The following is a 19,207-nucleotide window of genomic DNA, read 5'->3' as shown; positions in this document are numbered from 1 at the left end:
TGTCTTCACACAGCCCATTTCAGAAGAGAGGGGGCTGCAAGGAAAGTTGGACCCTACCCACTACACCCTAGGAGCAGGAAGCAACATAGAAGGCCCTAACGAATCCAAGCACAGTGGAATGTATTATCTGTGTGTCAGCTCTCACTAGAGATAGAGGAGAGGGACACATTTTATCACAACATTTTTGTATCTACAACAAATAGCCCAGGGGCACACATAGGATGGACTTAATACAAATAAATTCTAATTCCATTGGAATGGCTAAGGCCACAAGTAAGTGCTCTGCCTTCTCCTCTGTAATGAGTTCTCTAGAGTCAGGAAGGTGGCCATTCTCACCTTTCCCAATCAAAACAGTTACTCCTAGGAGTCCCCTATTCATCTCTCTGCTCTCTCTTCCACCCACCTTTATTTGCACGTAATAGAAATGCATCTGAATTTAGTTATGCCTGTGCCCTTTTGTATATTTTCCTTTGTGCTTTCGCTTGACAGAAGTGTCTCCGGTTGAAAACACAGGCTGCTGAGAGTGTCTATTTGTTATACTTTGTATAGCATTTAGGACAATAAAACCTTTTTGTGCTCATAATGAAGAAAGGGCTCTCTGAGGACATGTTTTGCCAGTGCTGTTAAAAAAGTGTCATACTTCCTGCAGGAGCTAGGTTTTTAAAAATAATAATAAAGATAAAAATAAAAACTGTCACACAAGTAACGCACTGCCATGTCTGAAAAAGACCCGCCCTACCTTAGCCAGGAAATTGTGGCCCTAATATTTCAGCACTTGAAAATGGGATCTGGCCGGGTGTGGTGGCTCACGCCTGTATTCCCAGCACTTTGGGAGGCCAAGGTGGGTGGATCACTTGGGGTCAGGAGTTCGAGACCAGCCTGACCAACATGGTGAAACCCCCTCTCTACCAAAAATACAAAAATTAGCCGGGCGTGGTGGCGCACGCCTGTAATCCCAGCTACTTGGGAGGCTGAGGCAGGAGAATTGCTTGAACCTGGGAGGTGGAGGTTGCAGTGAGCCAAGATCACACCACTGCACTCCAGCCTAGGCAACAGAACAAGACTCTGTCTGGAAAAAAAAAAAAAAGGGGGAGGGATCTGTAGAATCCTTGGCTTTTATAGCATAGTTAATTACATGTTTGCAGAGTACTAAAAATTGCTTGAGGTGAGAAAAGACTGGTGAGGACATTTGAGCCAAACTGTAGTTTGCCTGGTCATAAGATATTGATGTTACTATTCAGTCTTTCAATCTTTCAACCTCATTATGTTTCAAAAAACTGACCTCTCAGACATGAAGCTGCATGCACTGTTATTTTCTACATCTGTGTCTGTTTTCAGAACATATGAGGCCCAATGAACATGGTGTCTGTACAGAGATAAGATCGACGTGTCTCCCCACTCCAGAGGGCACAGGGAGCTGATCTTAACCCTGAATGAGCCTTTCAATATAAGTAGAGTCTGTGAAACCCATGAACTTCCAATAAATATACAGCCAGTAGGGAACATTCCAAGTGTCTGTTTAATTTGGTTCTTAATAATGGCAGCCAAAAAGCTATTTTCATTTCTGTACAAAGAGGAATTACTAAATAGTCATTCTTTTCTTGGTATTTCTTCCTTGGAAAAATCACGTTTCTAAAATCAATCTGTAGCTAGTTCACAAATGTGTCATTAAAAATAAGAGACGTGGCCGGGCGCAGTGGCTCATGGCTTTAATCCCAGCACTTTGGGAGGCCAGGGTGGGTGGATCACGAGGTCAGGAGATCGAGACCATTCTGGCTAACACAGTGAAACCCCGTCTCTACTAAAAAAAAAAAAATACAAAAAAATTAGCCAAGTGTGGTGGCACATGCCTGTATTCCCAGCTACTCGGGAGGCTGAGGCAGGAGAATTGCTTGAACCCGGGAGGCAGAGGTTGCAGGGAGCCGAGATCGCACCGTTGCACTCCAGCCTGGGTGACAGAGCAAGACCCCATCTCAAAAAAACAAAAAAGAGTGGTTAAGTGGTTTGGAATAAACTTTGTCTCATTATAGCTGTCCAGTCAAAAAAAATTAAACTTGAAGAAAAAGGTAAAAAATTTTACTTATTATTAGACTATACAAGATTTATGGACCTAATAGTTGAATAAAATATCCCCAGAAACAACCTAATAAGTTACTGATTAAATAATTTATTGTATTTCCACAGCATAGAACACTACGCAGCCATTTGAAATGATGGCGTTAGATGTATATCAAGTAAAAACTAGCAGGTTACAAAACATTATGTATTTATGACCCCATTTTTATAAAAGCAAGGCACACCTATGTATGTACCTGAGAAAAGAATGCTGCATTTATTATGAGCAATAACTATCTCTAGGAGGTGAGCTTATATGTGATTTTCACCCCTTCTTTTTGGTTACCTGTATGTTAATTTTTTTCTTCAATAAGCATAGATTACTTATGTAATAATAGAAAACTTTCTCTTTAAAAAGTAACTATTTTAATTAATTTTTATTTTGACTTTATATTTTATTTAATTTGGCAGTGGCCTCTCAGTTGGCTTATATAAGTAGTGCCTAGTCCAACTGATAAAGCTAGTACACCAATATGTTAATTATGGTTATTTTGCAGTACTGGGCCAGTAGCATTTTTCCTTGTTTTACTTTCTCATTTTCTATATTTATCAAATTTGTTATGAGCACATATTATTATTAGTTTTGAGACAGGGTCTCACTGTCATCCAGGCTGGAGTGAGAGGTGCCATCAGGGCTCACAGCAACCTTGACTCCCCCAGCTTGAGCGATCCTCCCAACTCAGCCTGCCAAGTAGCTGGGACTACTGGCACACACCACGACACCTGGCTAATTTTTTAAATGTTTTATAGAGACAGGGTCTCGCTATGTTACCCAGGCTGGTCTTGAACTCCTGAACTAAAGCAGTCCTGCCTTGCTCTCCCAAAGTGCTGGGATTACAGAGATAAGCCACCATGCCCAGCCAATATTATTTTTACACTGGAAAAATCTGATTCATTTTTAAGGCAGAGACTTGGGATCATGGCTTTTGGAGAGACACCCACGTAAACTGATGTGTACTGGTCATTGAAAAAGGTTAATTCTGTTAATTCTGGAGTATTAGAGGTATCCAGGAAGTGTCTGCTTTCACTACCACACTGGATCTTAACAAACTCTATAATCTGATCTGATTTTTGGCCAGGATCTCAGACTCAGTATTATTTGGAGAGCAATGGCAGCAAGCTGGGGACTTTAGCAGATTTTTAAGTCAATTAAAATAACACTTCTGGTGTTATGATTATCCATTAAAATTTCAGAAGGGCCCGGAGTTCAGAATGTTAAATTCAAAGCAGTGAACAGTGGAACCATGTGCAGTAGGTCTCAGGTAATATTTTGAGTGACAGTGATGAGGGATGATGGAAAGAATGAATCCCCTAGCCAGTGTTTCCAGGGCACTTATCTGTGTAGTATCACGGTGTATCTCACCAGCGTTCACTACATGTGAGAGCACTTTAAGAAAGTACTGGCTCCCTCAGTCATTTCTGCCAGACGCTGCCAGGATGTCCTCATGGCCTGAATCAGAAGGTTATTGTGGGTAACTGTTTTGGTGCCTGTGGCACTTGATTTAAGAAAATCTTGAACAAAGTGGGACTTCCCACTAAAGCAGGCCCCCCTTTCCACCTGCTTTATACAGTGCCACATGAGAATAAGTACTTTTGATGGTCATTGAGAGAGTCTCTCCTAAGCCTGGGCCTGGAGCAAAATGGCATTTGTCACTAGGTTTCCTTTGGGCATTGAGGCTGAAATTCAGACTGAATTGAATCTGCTTTCAACAGGACTAAGACCTTAAACTTAATCGAAAACCAAGGCTGGGCGTGGTGGCTCACGCCTGTAATCCCAGCACTTTGGGAGGCTGAGGTGGGTGGATCACGAGGTCAGGAGATCCAGACCATCCTGGCTAACACAGCGAAACCCCGTCTCTCTACTAAAAATACAAAAAGTTAGCCGGGCACGTGGTGACAGGCGCCTGTAGTCCCAGCTACTTGGGAGGCTGAGGCAGGAGAATGGGAGGCGGAGCTTGCAGTGAGCCGAGATGGCGCCACTGCACTCCAGCCTGGGTGACAGAGCGAAACTCCGTCTCAAAAAAAAAAAAAGAAAACCAAGTGCCTTGATAAACTGAAAGGAATCTGGAATCATGTGCTACCATGTTTTGGCCTAGCCTTTGGTTTAGAACCTTTGTTACTCATAGAAGAATGTTTCCTGGAATGCTCGGAACTGAGAAAGCTGGTTTTTCAAGTTTCCTCTTTACATTTGTCATCCATATAAGGAATGCTCTTCTTTTTATGCTCGCCTTCCTTTCTTCATCATCTCGTGTCTTTCTACTGCAATTATATGAGAGGAGTAGTCATGACATTCCTCTCTGCAGTATTACTTCCTTAGGAAGTGAAGACACACCTTGCATGGGCAGATCTTCGTTTTCTTTCTTTTTTTTGAGACAGAGTCTTGTTCTGTTGCCCAGGCTGGAGTGCAATGGCACGATCTCAGCTCACTGCAACCTCTGCCTCCTGGGTTCAAGCAATTCTCTTGCCTCAGCCTCCTGCGTAGCTGGGATTACAGGCGCCCACTACCACACCCAGCTAATTTTTTGTATCTTTAGAAGAGACAGGGTTTCACCATGTTGGCCAGGCTGGTCTCGAACTCCTGACCTCGTGATCCACCCACCTCGGCCTCCCAAAGTGCTGGGATTACAGACGTGAGCCACCGCACCCAGCCCAGTGCATCTTCATTTCCTTTGGGGAGAAGAAAGAGGTGTGGGTAAACACCTTCACTCAATAGTCACATATTCAATGAATAGAGTACTGTTCCCAGTGAGATTGTTGGGGGACAATTCCCAAGACATCAGCATGTCCTGGCTGCCAAGTAGTTCTAACTGAGTTAAGTCCCAAAGCTCTCCTGCACACCAAGTGAGTATAGATGTGCATAATGCCACATCAAGATGGAATAGTAGGTGTTAAAATTTGGTTACTTGGCAAGTTGAATGCCTTAAAAGAAGAAAGAAAATGTCTTTTTACTTCCTTAGAAGGGATAGAGCAGATAAAAAGGGTTTCTGAGACTGTGTTGGACAAGGCAGGAAAACTGATGGTCATCAAGAGAAATAGAGTGACTTTTTTTTTTTTGAGATGGAGTCTCACTCTGTCACCCAGGCTGGAGTGCAGTGGTGCGATCTCGGCTCACTGCAACCTCTGCCTTCCACGTTCAAGCGATTCTCTTGCCTCAGCCTCCCAAATAGGTGGGATTACAGGTGCCCGCCACCATGCCCAGCTAATTTTTTTTTTTTTTTTGGAGACGAAGTCTCACTCTGTTGCCCAAGCTGCAGTGCAGTGGCGTGATCTTGGCTCACTGCAATCTACACCTCCCTGGTTTAAGCGATTCTCCTGCCTTAGCCTCTTGAGTAGCTGGGATTACAGGCATGTGCCACCATGCCTGGCAAATTTTTTTTAGTAGAGACGGGGTTTCACTGTTGGCCAGGCTGGTCTTGAACTCCTGACCTGGTGATCGCCCGCCTCAGCCTCCCAAATTTCTGGGATTGCAGGCATGAGTCACCATACCCGGCCAATTTTTGTATTGCCATGTTGGCCAGGCTGGTCTCTAACTCCTGACCTCAGGTGATCTGCCTGCCTCGGCCTCCCAAAGTGCTGGGATTACAGGCGTGAGCCACCACACCGGCCTGAAAGAGGGTGACTTTTATAAGAGGAAGAAGAGAGTGGATCTCAGCTTAAAAACTTGAATTGCATTTGTTTTCCTCTTTTTTGTCTTTTTTTTGTTTACTTGTTTTTTTGTTTGCTTGTTTGTTTTTATCTTTACTCTGAAGACTAAAAGCAAAAGTAAGAGAGATGAATGTAGTTAACGTAGGTGTTAGGAGTTATAAAAGAGCTCATCTGTTATAAAGGTTTTTAAAAGAGTGATTGCCTTAGACCTGACTTGAAATTAAAGTGGCAGCTGTCACAGGAAGAGGGAATCACTGACTTTCTGCCTCAGCTGCTGTGCGGTTAAGTGTCCCTAGGGACTTGGAAGGCAGCGTGCCCGGCAACTCACCTCTTTCTCTCGGGCCTGATTTTTGCCATCTCTGCTTTTGTTTACATTTGTTTGGTTTCCACCTCATCTTTAAGTCATAGTGTCTTCAGGCCTGTGAGGCATGTCAGCAACAATTAAATAAATCCAGAGTTTGGGGTTTTTTTGTTTTTGTTTTTGAAACGGAGTCTTACTCTGTCTCTCAGGGTGGAGTGCAGTGGCAGGATCTTGGCTCACTGCAACCTCCGCCTCCTGGGTTCAAACAATTCTCCCGCCTCAGCCTCCTGAGAAGCTGGGATTACAGGTGCATGCCACCATGTCCGGCTAATTTTTGTATTTTCGGTAGAGACAGGGTTTACCATTTTGGCCAGGCTGGTCTTGAACTCCTGGCCTCAAGTGATCCACCCGCCTCGGCCTCTCAAAGTGTTGGGATTACAGGCGTGAGCCACCACACCCAGCCAAAATCCAGAGTTTTTACTTGAAAAGACTCAAAAGCCTCATCCAGAAGAAATGTCTCCTGGTCAGATATAAAAGCCTGACAGTATCATACTATTAACTATTATAATGATAATTTTTTTAAGTTTATATTTTTATTGTATTCTGAGAAGAAATTATCCTCAGTGACCAATGGTGTAAGAAAGCTTTTATTTTCTATCTCCCCACTAACTAGCAAGCAGTGAACTTCTAAGAACTCAAGCAGTCAAATTGAATCCAGCTTTGTAAGACCAATACAGATATAAAAGTATATTTTTCTAACAACAAATCCTGGTTATTTTTTTATTTGCACATGGTAAAATTTGCTTTTTCTGGTGTACAGTTTTGTGAGTTTGTACACATGCACAGATTTTTGTGACCACCAACACAAACAGGATACAGAATAACTCCAGCTCCCCGAAGGCCACTCTTGAGCTGCCCCTTTATTCAGACCCTGCCTTCAACCCTTACTCCCTGAACTGTGGAAGGAGTCTTCGAGCCACACACAGCCATGGTCAAGGGTGAAACTCCGCAGGCTACGGGGGCTTCAGCACAACCTCTGGCCACTAAGTGGCTTGTGCTGTCCCACAAGTGATCCCTAGCGAGTTAGACTAAAATATAAAAACAAGGGGAAAATCTGAGTGGGGCTGGCAGCTGCGCACTGTAGGGGAATAGACTTCAGAGAATCATTAATAGTTCAACCAAGTACCCACACAATTAAGTGACAGCTGCAGGCCTCTGGGAAGTGGGAGTATCAGTGAGCAGAATTGTTACAGTTTATTATTTAAAAGATCCAGTTTTCAATGAAAAATTATAAGACATGTAAAGAAACTAGCTCGTGTGAAACACACATGGGGCGGGGTGGGGGGGGCAGACAGTGGAGACTGCTTTTGAGGGGGCCCAGATACTGAACTTAGCAGACAGTCTTCAGAGCAGCCATTACACGTACGTTCAAAGACTAAAGAAAACCGTGTTTAGGTAATGGAAAGAAGGTACACTGGCAGACTCATCAAACAGAGAATATTCATGAAGAGATAGAAATTATAAAATAAAAAAAGAACCTGGCCAAGCGCGGTGGCTCATGCCTGTAATCCCAGCACTTTGGGAGGCCGAAGCGGGTGGATCACCCGAAGTCAGGAGTTCGAGACCAGCCTGGCCAACATGGCAAAACCCTGTCTCTACTAAAAATACAAAATTAGCTGGGCGTGGTAGCAGGCATCTGTAATCCCAGCTGCTCGGGAGGCTGAGGCAGGAGAATCGCTTGAACCTAGGAGGCGGAGGTTGCAGTGAGCCAAGACTGCACCATTGCATTCCAGCCTGGGAGACAGAGCAAGACTCCATTTCAAAAAAAAAAAAAAAAAAAAAACAAAACTCCTATAACTCAAAAACAAAAAGCAAACGACCTGATTTTTTAAATGGGCACAGGACTTTAATAGACATTTCCCCAAAGAAGACAATACACATGGCCAACAAGCATGTGAAAAGATGCCCAATATCACAAATTATTCAGGAAATGAAAAATCATACCACAATGAGCTACCACCTCCACCCATTAGGATGGCTATCATATAAAAATATAAAACCAACAGAAGATAACAGGTGTTGATGAGGGTAATGAGAAATTGGAACCCTTGTGCACTATTGGTGAGAATACTAAATGGTGAGGCTGCTGTCAAAAACAGTATGACAGTTCCTCAGAAACTTAAAATTAGAATGACCACATCCAGCAATTCCACTTCTGGGTATATATCCAAAAGGACTGAAAGTGTGGTCTTGGAAAGATATTTGTATACCCATTTTAATAGCAGTGTTATGGCCAGGTGCAGTGGCTCACGCCTGTAATCTCAGCACTTTGGGAGGCTGAGGCGGGCGGATCACAAGGTCAGGAGTTTGAGACCAGCCTGACCAACATGCTGAAACCCCGTCTCTACTAAAAATACAAAAAAAAATTAGCCAGGTGTGGTGGTGCACACCTGTAATCCCTGCTACTCAGGAGACTGAGGCAGGAGAATCGGTCGAACCCGGGAGGCAGAGGTTGCAGTGAGCAGAGATCGAGCCGCTGCACTCCAGCCTGGGCCACAAAGGGAGACTCTGTCTCAAAAAAAAAAAAAAAAAAAAAAAGCAGTATTATTCACAGTCGCTAAAAGTCACAGCACAAATGTCCACTGATGGATGAATGGATAAGCACAGTGTGGTCTACACCTACAAGGAAATATTACTTGGTCTCAAAAAGGAAGGAAATCCTCATACATGCTGCAACGTGGATGAACCCTAAGTGAAATAAGCCAGTCACAAAAGGACAAATGCTGTGTCATTCCACTCCCCTGAGCTCCTTAGGCTGTGAGATTCATAGAGACTAAGGGTAGAATGTTGGTGGCCAGGGGTTGGAGAAAGGCGAGAATGGCAAGTTATTGTCTAATGGGTACAGAGTTTCAGTTTTGAAAATGAAAGGAGTTCTGTGGCTGGATGGTGGCAGTGGTTGCACAGCACTGTGAATATACCTAACGCCACTGAACCGTACACTTTCAAATGGTTAAGATGGTAAATTTTATGCGATGTGTATTTTACCATAATTTAAAAACATTTTGTAAAAGAAACTCTGCAGTTGAAAAGTATAATAACCAAGATGACAAGTTCGCTAGAGAGGCTTCGCAGTAAATTAGAGTTGCCAGAAGAAAGATCCCCAAACAATAGAGATGTTGCTGTAAGGAATGAAGAAAAATGAACAGAGCCAGAGAAATGTGGGCCACGATTCAGTGCATCAGTGGGAGAACCGACAGAGAAGGGGCAGAAAGCAGAAAACAGTATTTCAACACTTAAAAATAGGCCGGGCACGGTGGCTCACGCCTGTAATCCCAGCACTTTGGGAGGCCGAGGCAGGTGGATCATGAGGTCAGGAGATCGAGACCATCCTGGCTAACACGGTGAAACCCCGTCTCTACTAAAAACACAAAAAATTAGCCAGGTGTGGTCGCGGGCGCCAGTAGTCCCAGCTACTTGGGAGGCTGAGGCAGGAGAATGGCGTGAACCCGGGAGGCAGAGCTTGCAGTGAGCCAAGATCGCGCCACTGCACTCCAGCCTGGGCGACAGAATGAAACTCTGTCTCAAAAAAAAAAAAAAAAAAAGAAAGAAACCATGGCCAAGCACGGTGGCTCACACCTGTAATCCCAGCACTTTGGGAGGCCAAGGTGGGTGGATCACTTGAGGTCAGGAGTTCCAGACCAGCCTGGCCAACATAGTGAAACCGTGCTTCTAAAAAATACAAAAATTAGCCGGGCGTTGTGGCACATGTCTGTAATCCCAGCTACCCGGGAGGCTGAGGCAGGAGAATCACTTGAACCCAGGAGGTGGAGGTTGTGGTGGGCTGAGATCACACCATTGCATTCCAGCCTGGGCAACAGAGCGAGACTCTGTCTCAAAAAAAATAAAAATAAAAATAATCTGTAGTAATTTATTTTAACTTCCCAAATTTGATGAAGAACACTAATGTACACATCCAGACAACTTAGCCAAATTCAGTTAGGATAAACACAGACATACTGCAGTCAAGAAGTTTAAGAGACAGAGAGAAACTCTTGGAACCCACAAGAGAGAAGTGACTGTCAAGTCCAGTGGAACTCAAGTAAGATGGACAGCTGACTTCCATCAGGCAGTGAGGCCCAGAGGCAGCAGATGGCATATTAAAGTGCCGAAAGAATCCTTCATCCAGCAAAGCTGTCTTTCAAAAGTGAAGACAAAATAAAAACACTGCCACATAAATAACAGAGATTCCATCCATTGCTAGCAGAACTACCTCACTAGAGGAAGGCAGACGTGGCAGCTCACACCTGGAATCCCAGTACTGTGGGAGGCCAAGGCCGGAGGATCGCTTGAGCCCAGGAGTTCTAGGCCAGCCTGGGCAACATAGTAAAACTCCATCTCTACCAAAAAAACTTGCCAGGCACAGTGTCGCACACCTGTAGTTCCAGCTAGTTGGGAGGCTGAGGCAGGAGGATCAAGGCTGCAGTGAGCCATTATCGTGCCACTGCACTCCAACCTGTGTGTCAAAAAAAAAATTTAAATAAAAAAATACTAAAGGAGGTTCTTTAGGCTGAAAGGAAGTGACACTAGACAGTAATTTGAGTCCACACATACACACACACACACACACACACACACACAGTGAGAGAGCTCTGCTAAAGATAATTAAGTAGTTAATGATAAAAGACAATATAATTACATATTCGTTTTTCTTTCTTAACTAATTTAAAATATGAAAGAGCAGCTTCTATCTGGTTGCCCTCCAGTTTATAAGAAAGCTCTATGCTGACCTTGAAACAATCTCTCTAGCCCCAAGTTTTCTTTTTTTTTTTTTTTTGAGACGGAGTCTCGCTCTGTCGCCAGGGTGGAGTGCAGCAGCGCAATCTCGGCTCACTGCAACCTCCGCCTCCCGGGTTCAAGCGATTCTCCTGCCTCAGCCTCTCGAGTAGCTGGGATTACAGGCATGCGCCACCATGCCCAGCCAATTTTTGTATTTTCAGTAGAGATGGGGTTTTACCATGTTGGGCAGGATGGTCTTGATCTCTTGACCTTGTGATCCGCCCGCCTCAGCCTCCCAAAGTGCTGGGATTACAGGTGTGAGCCACCGCATCTGGCCTTTTTTTTTTTTTTTTTTTTTTTGAGACGGAGTTTTGTTCTTGTCACCCAGGCTGGAATGCAATAACACGGTCTCGGCTCACTGCAACCTCTGCCTCCTGGGTTCAAGCGATTCTCCTGCCTCAGCCTTCTGAGTAGCTGGGATTACAGGCGCCCGCCACTACACCCGGCCAATTTTTGTATTTTTAGTAGAGATGAGGTTTCACCATGTTGGCCAGGCTGGTCTCGAACTCCTGACCTCAGGCGATTCACCCGCCTCGACCTCCCAAAGTGCTTGAATTACAGGCGTGAGCCACCGCGTTCGGCCTAGCCCCAAGTTTTCTAAAGGAAAAATGCAGGCACAGGGAGCTTGACAAGCTCCCCTTTTTTGGAGGGGGGTGCTTTCTGGGTCTTTTATTTGTACGCATTGTGTCCATTACCCCGTGAGTGTACCCAGGGAAATCAGCTGACCTCCCTGAACATTCCATGCAGTGAGAGAAGCAGTGAGGAAATAAATGAGTGACTCTGATGCCTGGTCATCTCAGCCCCCCTTTACAGGCACAGTGGGTGGGAGAAGGGAAGGGCTGTGATTGTCCTGACCTCTGCGAAGGAGGAAAGGTGGGCTGGAGGCTGGGCTGTTAGCACCTCCCTCCCGCAGTTTCGAGGGCTCACTCTGGGCTTAGGTTTGCCAGGGTGCCCTTTGGTCCAAATGCAGGCCTTGTGCTTAGTCGTGTGCCCTGTTCACCTCTTGGCCTGGAGGCCTTTTTGTGCTGCTGCTGTCTCAGGGCCAGCTGCATGGCCGAGATGCTCAGTGGCTGCGTGTAGACCAGCAAGCAGAACACCCAGCTGGCTGGATGCCCTCGGGGTCTGGAAGGCCAGGCCCAGGTGCTCCCGCATGATATGGGAGCAGCCTTTAGCTGCCTGGCTGCCCTCCCAAGTCAGGCTCTCTTGGATCATGGTGGCTGCCAGCCATAGACCACACCCACCCACACTTCATCAGACTGCACATTGGATCTGTCAGGGGACACCATGGGGCTGCACCCCATTCTGCACCCATGGCCTCTCCTGCAAAGCTGGAAGATAGCTTTGAAAGCACAGAGTGCAAGAAAGATGATCTTTATCGTGCATGGGGAATTAAGAGCCATGAGCATTCTCAGAGTGAGGAAATAGTTTTCAAAGAAATCTTATAAAATGTCTTTTCTCTTTTGTGTTTTTTACTGCCATCCCATGGTTTTGTGAAGGTATTAATAATATCAAGCCAGTGCTCATGGTTTCTTAATTTAGTAAAAAGATTTCACTCTCAGTCTCCATAGAAGATGAGAGGAACTGCTAAATTTCTACCTGACTTACCAATCAAATGAACGCTCTTGGGACTATATTGCCTTGTTTAGTGTGTTTATACTGCCAATTTAGCAAGTTATTAGTGAAGTAGAATCAGGTTTTCAGATTTCTGATGAAGCACTTCAGAGAATTGAACAGATTCTCCCACATGGCAAAGAGGAAGAGGCTGCCTAGATCAACTTAATAATCATTTGTCCTCTGTTGTTTTTTCTGCTGGCTAAGAACAATTGCTTAAGAATCTCTGGAATGATAACAAGAAATATGGGGCTGTAAGTTGAGCATGGAAAGGAGTTAAGATAATTTCATTTGTCAGCTCCTCTGTTTATATTAATGTTGCATTAATGGAAAGAATATGCGGTTGTACCAGGAACAAAAAGTTTTATAAGTACCATCCATATTTTTATTGAACCTCCAATAGAATCAAAACAAAGTTAGCAAATAAACATGTAAGAGCCATATCTATTTTCATACATGGTTCCATTTTAAACTGTCTCTGAAGGGAAAGTATTTTCCTAATATAGCTCTTGGAACTTAGCCAAACAGTCCAACATTTCAGGGCACAGAATTGGAACAAGTGATCCTAGGTTTGTCATTTGATAGAAGTTTCATATGTTAAGCGATTTGCTCACGAATATCTACCTATTTTTGGTTATGAGTGAAGAAAATACCTAGAATATCTGGGAGGGCGGGGAATCCATTTATAGTGCATACGGAAAGGAAGAAAGGAGAAAATGTTGAAGAGTCTTTTCTGTGTTAGAGAGTGGGAATAAATTCATAAAGCTTGGCTATTCTCGTCCCTCGCTTCCAGACAGTAGTGTGCCTCAGACTCTCCAGCAAGGCGGTGATCTACTTTAAAAGTCTCTACTGCTGGGGAGTCCACATTTCCAGTGGGAGCTCACTTCGGTGGGCTGCAACCTATTCCATTATAAATGTGTTTCTCCTATCCAAATACAGTTAATTAGTTTGTTTGTTTTTAAGACGGAGTTTTGCTCTTGTCACTCAGGCTGGAGTGCAATGGCACGATCTCGCCTTACTGCAACCTCTGCCTCCTGGGTTCAACCAATGCCTCCGCCTCAGCCTCCCTGGTAGGTGGGATTATAGGCACCTGCCACCATGCCCACCTAATTTTTGTATTTTTAGTAGAGACGGATTTTAGTAGAGACGGAAACAACAGAGTCTCACCATGTTGGCCAGGGTGGTCTCGAACTCCTGACCTCAAGTGATCCACCCAGCTTGGCCTCCCAAAGTGCTGGGATTACAGGCGTGAGCCACTGTGCCCAGCCCAGTTGTTTTTCTTTAAGAGACTGAGTTTTGCTCTTGTTGCCCAGGCTGGAGTGCAATGGCACAATCTCAGCTCACTGCAACCTCTGCCTCCTGGGTTCAAGCGACTCTCCTGCCTCAGCCCCCTGAGTAGCTGGGATTACAGGGACCTGCCCCTACACCTGGCTAATTTTTTGTATTTTTAGTAGAGACGGATTTTTACCATGTAGAGAGATTTTCACCATGTTGGCCAGGCTGGTCTGAAACCCCTGACCTCAGGTGATCCACCTGCCTTGGGCTCCCAAAGTGCTGGGATTACAGGCATAAGCCATCGTGCCCAGCCAAATACAGTTTTGTTTTTTTTAAAGACAGGGTCCTACTCTGTTGTCCAGGCTGGAGTGCAGTGGCAACACTCCAGTCTCACTGTAGCCTTGACCTCCCAGGCTCAGGTGATCTTCCTACCTCAGCCTCCTGGGTAGCTGGGTAATTTCTGTATTTTTAGTAGGGATGGGGTTTCGCCATGATGCCTAGGCTGATCTCAAACTCCTGGGCTCAAGTGATCCGCCCACCTTGACGGGATTGCAGGGATGAACCACCTCGCCCAGCCTAAATAGTCTTTTTTCTTACATGAAAGACTGTTTCCTTGTGCTGTGTCCAAACTGCTGGGATTGGAGGCATGAACCACCTCGCCCAGCCTAAATAACAGTCTTTTTTCTTACATGAAAGACTGTTTCCTTGTGCTGTGTCCTCAAATTAGATAAAGAGAGGCTGATATATTTCCTAATAATAACTTTTTCATGGACTCATTGAATTGTAAATGTAAAAGGAAAATAACAAATAAAATCTTACAATTACCTGTCATACGTTCATTCAGATTCCATTTGAATGTCACTAAGGATGGCACTTACATATCCTGAGGCAGCCTTTCTACTAAAAAAAAATATTTTCCATGTAAGTCATGTCGTACCTTCGAAATCTTTTCTTCGGGCCAAATCATCCTAACTCCTCTAACTTTTTCTCATTTTAATTATTTTTTGCTGTTTCCTTTTCCTTTAAAAATATATGCACTTAGATTTATTTATTGTAGATTTATGCAATGCCTTCCCAGAGAGTAAGAGGCTGTGTGGAAAACATCTAAATATCACAGAAGCTTTACGGCTGGGAAGAAACTTCCCTGTGGAAATGAGAAGAATGCGGAGGGAGTGTGGACAGAGCAGGAATGAGACCTGGAAGGAAAAAGGGCAGGGAAGGCTGAACCCTCAGGGTCCGAAGCAGGAATCTTAGCTAGAGAACCAAACGCCAAAGTAAGTCTGTTCATGTCCCATAAGTCCACGAAGGCCGTTGACTGCACTGCTCAAGACAGGGTCAGAATTTTCCACCCCTCCCTACAGGACAATCCTGTGGCTCACAGCTCCAGGCTAAACGGCCTCTTCCTGGCCCTGTGGTCTCTGGTTGATGTAGAATAATAGAGTTGGACAGGACCAGAAGATGTCATCTGATCTTGACAATTTTGAAGGGTGAGAGCCCGGCAGCATTCTTGTGAGTCCATTCTCTTTATTAGCCTCCCTCCTTCCCATGTCTCTCCCTGCCCACCCCCAGCTTAGGCCAGGAACCCAGAGAACCTCAGCGCCCAGAGTTGGACCTCCTATCATCAGGGCCTGGCAAGTGTCAGCCAGGAGCATCACTTCCTAGTTTCTCGGCATTGCTTTCATTTCAGTGCCTCCTACCCTGGTGTGGTGTGGTGTGGACTCATGGGAAGGAGAGAGTGCATTTAGGGACTCATTGTTTAAATCTACTTTCAGTGACGCAGCCACGTCTTTAAAATGACCAAAATTGGACTCGATTACTGCTAAAGTCCCTTCAGACCCTAATGTTCTATGATCTTCTAACTCTGTAAACCAAAACAGGAATAAAAGCTTAATTATAGGTTGCTTCTTGTAAGCATTAGCTTCAAACAGTTTCAGGAGAAAAGAGGCCAGCAGAGTCCTTGGCACCATCAAGATACTTTCTATTCAGTTCAGTCTTGAGGGCCAAACCTCAAGAGAAGGATAAGGAAGATGAGGGAAGAACTGAGAAAGACTCTTTGTGACTGAGCATGGGCCCTTTGGAATATAAATTGAATATAGGGCTGGGCACAGTGGCTCACGTCTGTAATCCCAGCACTTTGGGAGGCTGAGGCGGGAGAATCAGTTGAGTCCAGGAGTTTGAGACCAGCCTGGGCAACATAGTGAGACTTGTCTCTACCAAAAAGAAAACAAAATTAGCCAAGCATGATGGCATGTGCCTGTAGTCTGAGCTACTGGAGAGGCTGAGGTAGGAGGATTGCTTGAGCCCAGGAGCTTAAGGCTGCAGTGAGCCATGATCATGCCACCGCACTCCAGCCTAGACAACAGACCGACTCTGTCTCAAAACTAAAAATAAAGGAATAAATAAATAACTGGAATATAGTAGAAGACTCCACACCATGCAGAGACCTTTTTACCAAGTGCTCCAATACTAGACAAAAGGATATTCTTGACAGTGAAAAAGATAAATAAAGGAATACAGAATGTGTTTTATGTTTTACATCGTAGGTAGTAAGCCTGGAGAAAAATTGAGGCCCTGGCTGAAAACATAAATAGATTCATGGTAAATTCATTTTGTTTATTTAAGAAAACTAAGCCTGTTTTTGTGATATGTTCCTAACTTTTTTTAAAAAAATGTACCTTGTAGTGTTTTGAAGCGTCTTCCAGTGATAAAAGTGGTCATTGCACATTGTAGAAAATTTTGGATAACGTCAAAAAAATAAAAAGAGACCTAGAGAGAAGTGCAATTAACCTTTGGGCTTATTTCCTGAAAGTCTTAGGCGGTGCTTTCTTAAACATAGCGGAGGTCATATGGCTAATGTCATTGTGTGTTCCCATGTTTCACCTAGGATCACTGTGTTCCAGTGTCATGAAAATCTCTCAAGTTACATCATTGTAGTGGCTACCTAATATTTCATCTTTTAGAAGAAGTTGCCTTAGCCACACCCCTGACTGGGAACATTTGGATGTTTCTTCTTTTCTATGATCATAATAAATGACACTACAGTCCACATCTGTGCATTATTTGCCCACATTTCAAAGTCTTTGCCTATTTGCTTGAGCAGTTGAGGCTGATGTCATAAAGAGCACCCATACCCCCTGAGTGCTCCTCATTCACAATCTAGAGCCCTGGAGTTGTCGTGCATCTGACCTGGCCTGGTGAGTTGACAAGAACCATTTTCTTTTCTTTTTTTTTCCAGACAAGGTCTCACTCCGTCACCCAGGCTAGAGTGCAGTGGCTCAATCTCAGGTCACTGCAACCTCTGCCTCCCAGGTTCAAGTGATGCTCCTGCCTCAGCCTCCCGAGTGGCTGGGATTACAGATGCACACTGCCATGCCAGCTAATTTTTGTATTTTTAGTAGAGACAGGGTTTTGCTATGTTGGCCAGTCTGGTCTTGAACTCCTGACCTCAAGTGATGGTCCCACCTCAGGCCTCCCAAAGTGCTGGGATTACAGGCATGAGCCACTGCGCCCAGCTAAGAACCATTTCAATAAGAAGATAACTACTTTTTTTTTTTTTAAGAACTGTGTAAACCATTTCTAACTGTACTTAGGTAGATACCATTACAGAAACTTTCATCACAGATAACATAACAGTTACCCTTGCAGAACTGATTTCAGAGTTGACTTTGGGGTCACAGATCAGAGTGACCCTGTGATTGTAGCTTGCCCACACTCATACTTTCTCTGAGTGACGTCCTTGCAGCTCTTGGTCTATGAAGTGCCCAGAACTTCACATTTAAAGGATGTTCAGTCTGTGGTTCCCCATGGGAATGATTTTCACCTGAAATGTTTATATTTGCGTAAACTTAATACTAACGAATGGGTTTCTACCGTGAGATCCTCTAGAAGCCATCTGGAGGGCTTGTCTGCAGAAAGCCAGCTTTTCTTTTCCTTGTGAATTTGAAGAGAGGTCCGTAGGCTGGCCCTGGAGCAGGCCTTTCCTCTGTTCCCTGGCCCCAGAAGAGTCATGTCCCGAGCCCCTCCTCGATCCGTCTTCTCGCTGCCATTGTTTTAAATGTGCTGTGACATCACCCGTCCCTGAATCCTTGCTCGACTGAGTGAACTGGCTGGGTTTTCTGTGTCTCAGCGGAAGATTCCCTTTCTCACTGAAAAGAGAACTGTGTTTTTTTTTTTTCTTTTTTTCACTGTATAATCTATATACCATCCTAGGGGACTTGGTGGAGGTGGGGGGCAATGCTTGCAATATAGATAAGGGAAAATATCAAAAGTGAACATTACCTTTTATGACCAGCATTTTTTCTGATCACTTTTATTGAGGTAGACTGTATATAACTCAATAAATAAAGCTCAGCAGTTGTGAGTGAACAGTTTCGTGAGTTTTGACAACACGTGCAGTAATACAGCCACCACCATACTCAAGGTGCACAGCAGAGCTCTCCCTGTATAGACATGGGTAGTTGTTTCTCATGGGTAAATACACCCTAGATTGAGGCTGCTGGGTCGTGTGGCAAGTGTACACTTCACTTTTAAGAAATTGCCAATAGTTGGCTGGGCACGGTGGCTCATGCCTATAATCCCAGCACTTTGGGAGCCATGGCAGGTGGATCACTTGAGGTCAGGAGTTCAAGACCAGCCTGGCCAACATGGTGAAACCCTGTCTCTACTAAAAATACAAAAATTAGCCGGAGGAGGAAGTGCATGCCTGTAATCCTGGCTACTGGGGAGGCTGAGACAGGAGAATTGCTTGAACCTGGGAGGCAGAGGTTGTAGTGAGCAGAGATCAAACCATTGCACTCCAGCCTGGGCAACAGAGTGAGACTACATCTCAAAAAAAAAAAAAAAAAGAAAAGGAAAAGAAAAGAAATTGCCAATTGGCCAGGGATGGTGGCTCACACCTGTGATCCCAGCACTTTGAGAGGCCGAGGCGGGTTGATCACGAGGTCAAGAGATCGAGACCATCCTGGCCAACATAGTGAAACCGTGTCTCTACTAAAAATACAAAAATTAGCTGGGTGTGGTGGTGTGCACCTGTAGTCCCAGCTACTCGGGAGGCTGAGGCAGGAGAATGGCTTGAACCCAGGAGGCGGAGGTTGCAGTGAGCCGAGATCACGCCACTGCACTTCAGTCTGGTAACAGAGTGAGGCTCCGTCTCAAAAAAAAAAAGAAATTGCCAATAGTTTTCCAAAGTGTCTTTACCACGTTGAGTGGTTTTTTTCTTAGCGCCCTTTTAGTGTTTCTCTTCTCTACCTCTTTGCTTCCCTTCTTCCCTTAAAAAGTCCCTGTCCAGGCCAGGTGCAGTGGCTCATGCCTGTAATTGCAGCACTTTGGGAGGCCAAGGCGGGCAGTTCACAAGGTCAGGAGTTCAAGACCAGCCTGGCCAACATGGTGATAAGCCCTGTCTCTACTAAAAATACAAAAATTAGC

The 19,207-nt window shown here is 44.7% G+C and overlaps 1 protein-coding gene across 15 annotated transcripts in view, besides 1 other annotated feature; it reads left to right on the top strand.

The window, feature by feature from the left end:
- SLC20A2 (solute carrier family 20 member 2) overlaps nt 1-19,207 on the top strand; it is a 125,480-nt gene that overhangs the window by 45,115 nt on the left and 61,158 nt on the right. Inside the window, exon 1 of one of the 15 annotated variants that reach the window (XM_047422120.1) lies at nt 16,326-16,381. The exons of the other annotated variants lie outside the window; for them this stretch is intronic. The gene's annotated coding sequence lies outside the window, so the exon portion shown is untranslated. Of the gene's footprint in view, nt 1-16,325; nt 16,382-19,207 lie in introns of those variants that run through there. 15 annotated transcript variants of the gene reach the window in all.
- Nucleotides 3,272-4,139: an enhancer, noted in NCBI's record as "NANOG-H3K27ac hESC enhancer chr8:42350219-42351086 (GRCh37/hg19 assembly coordinates)". NCBI's record gives its function as "activates a minimal SCP1, AML or CMV promoter by ChIP-STARR-seq in primed H9 embryonic stem cells {active_cell/tissue: H9 hESC(primed)}" and the evidence as "EXISTENCE:reporter gene assay evidence [ECO:0000049][PMID:30033119]".

The sequence above is a fragment of the Homo sapiens genome, chromosome 8 (genome assembly GCF_000001405.40).
Source record: "Homo sapiens chromosome 8, GRCh38.p14 Primary Assembly".
NCBI classification, from domain to species: Eukaryota; Metazoa; Chordata; class Mammalia; order Primates; family Hominidae; genus Homo; species Homo sapiens.
The sequence above is the reverse complement of the archived record's forward strand: the minus strand, read 5'-3'. Positions and strand labels throughout refer to the sequence as shown.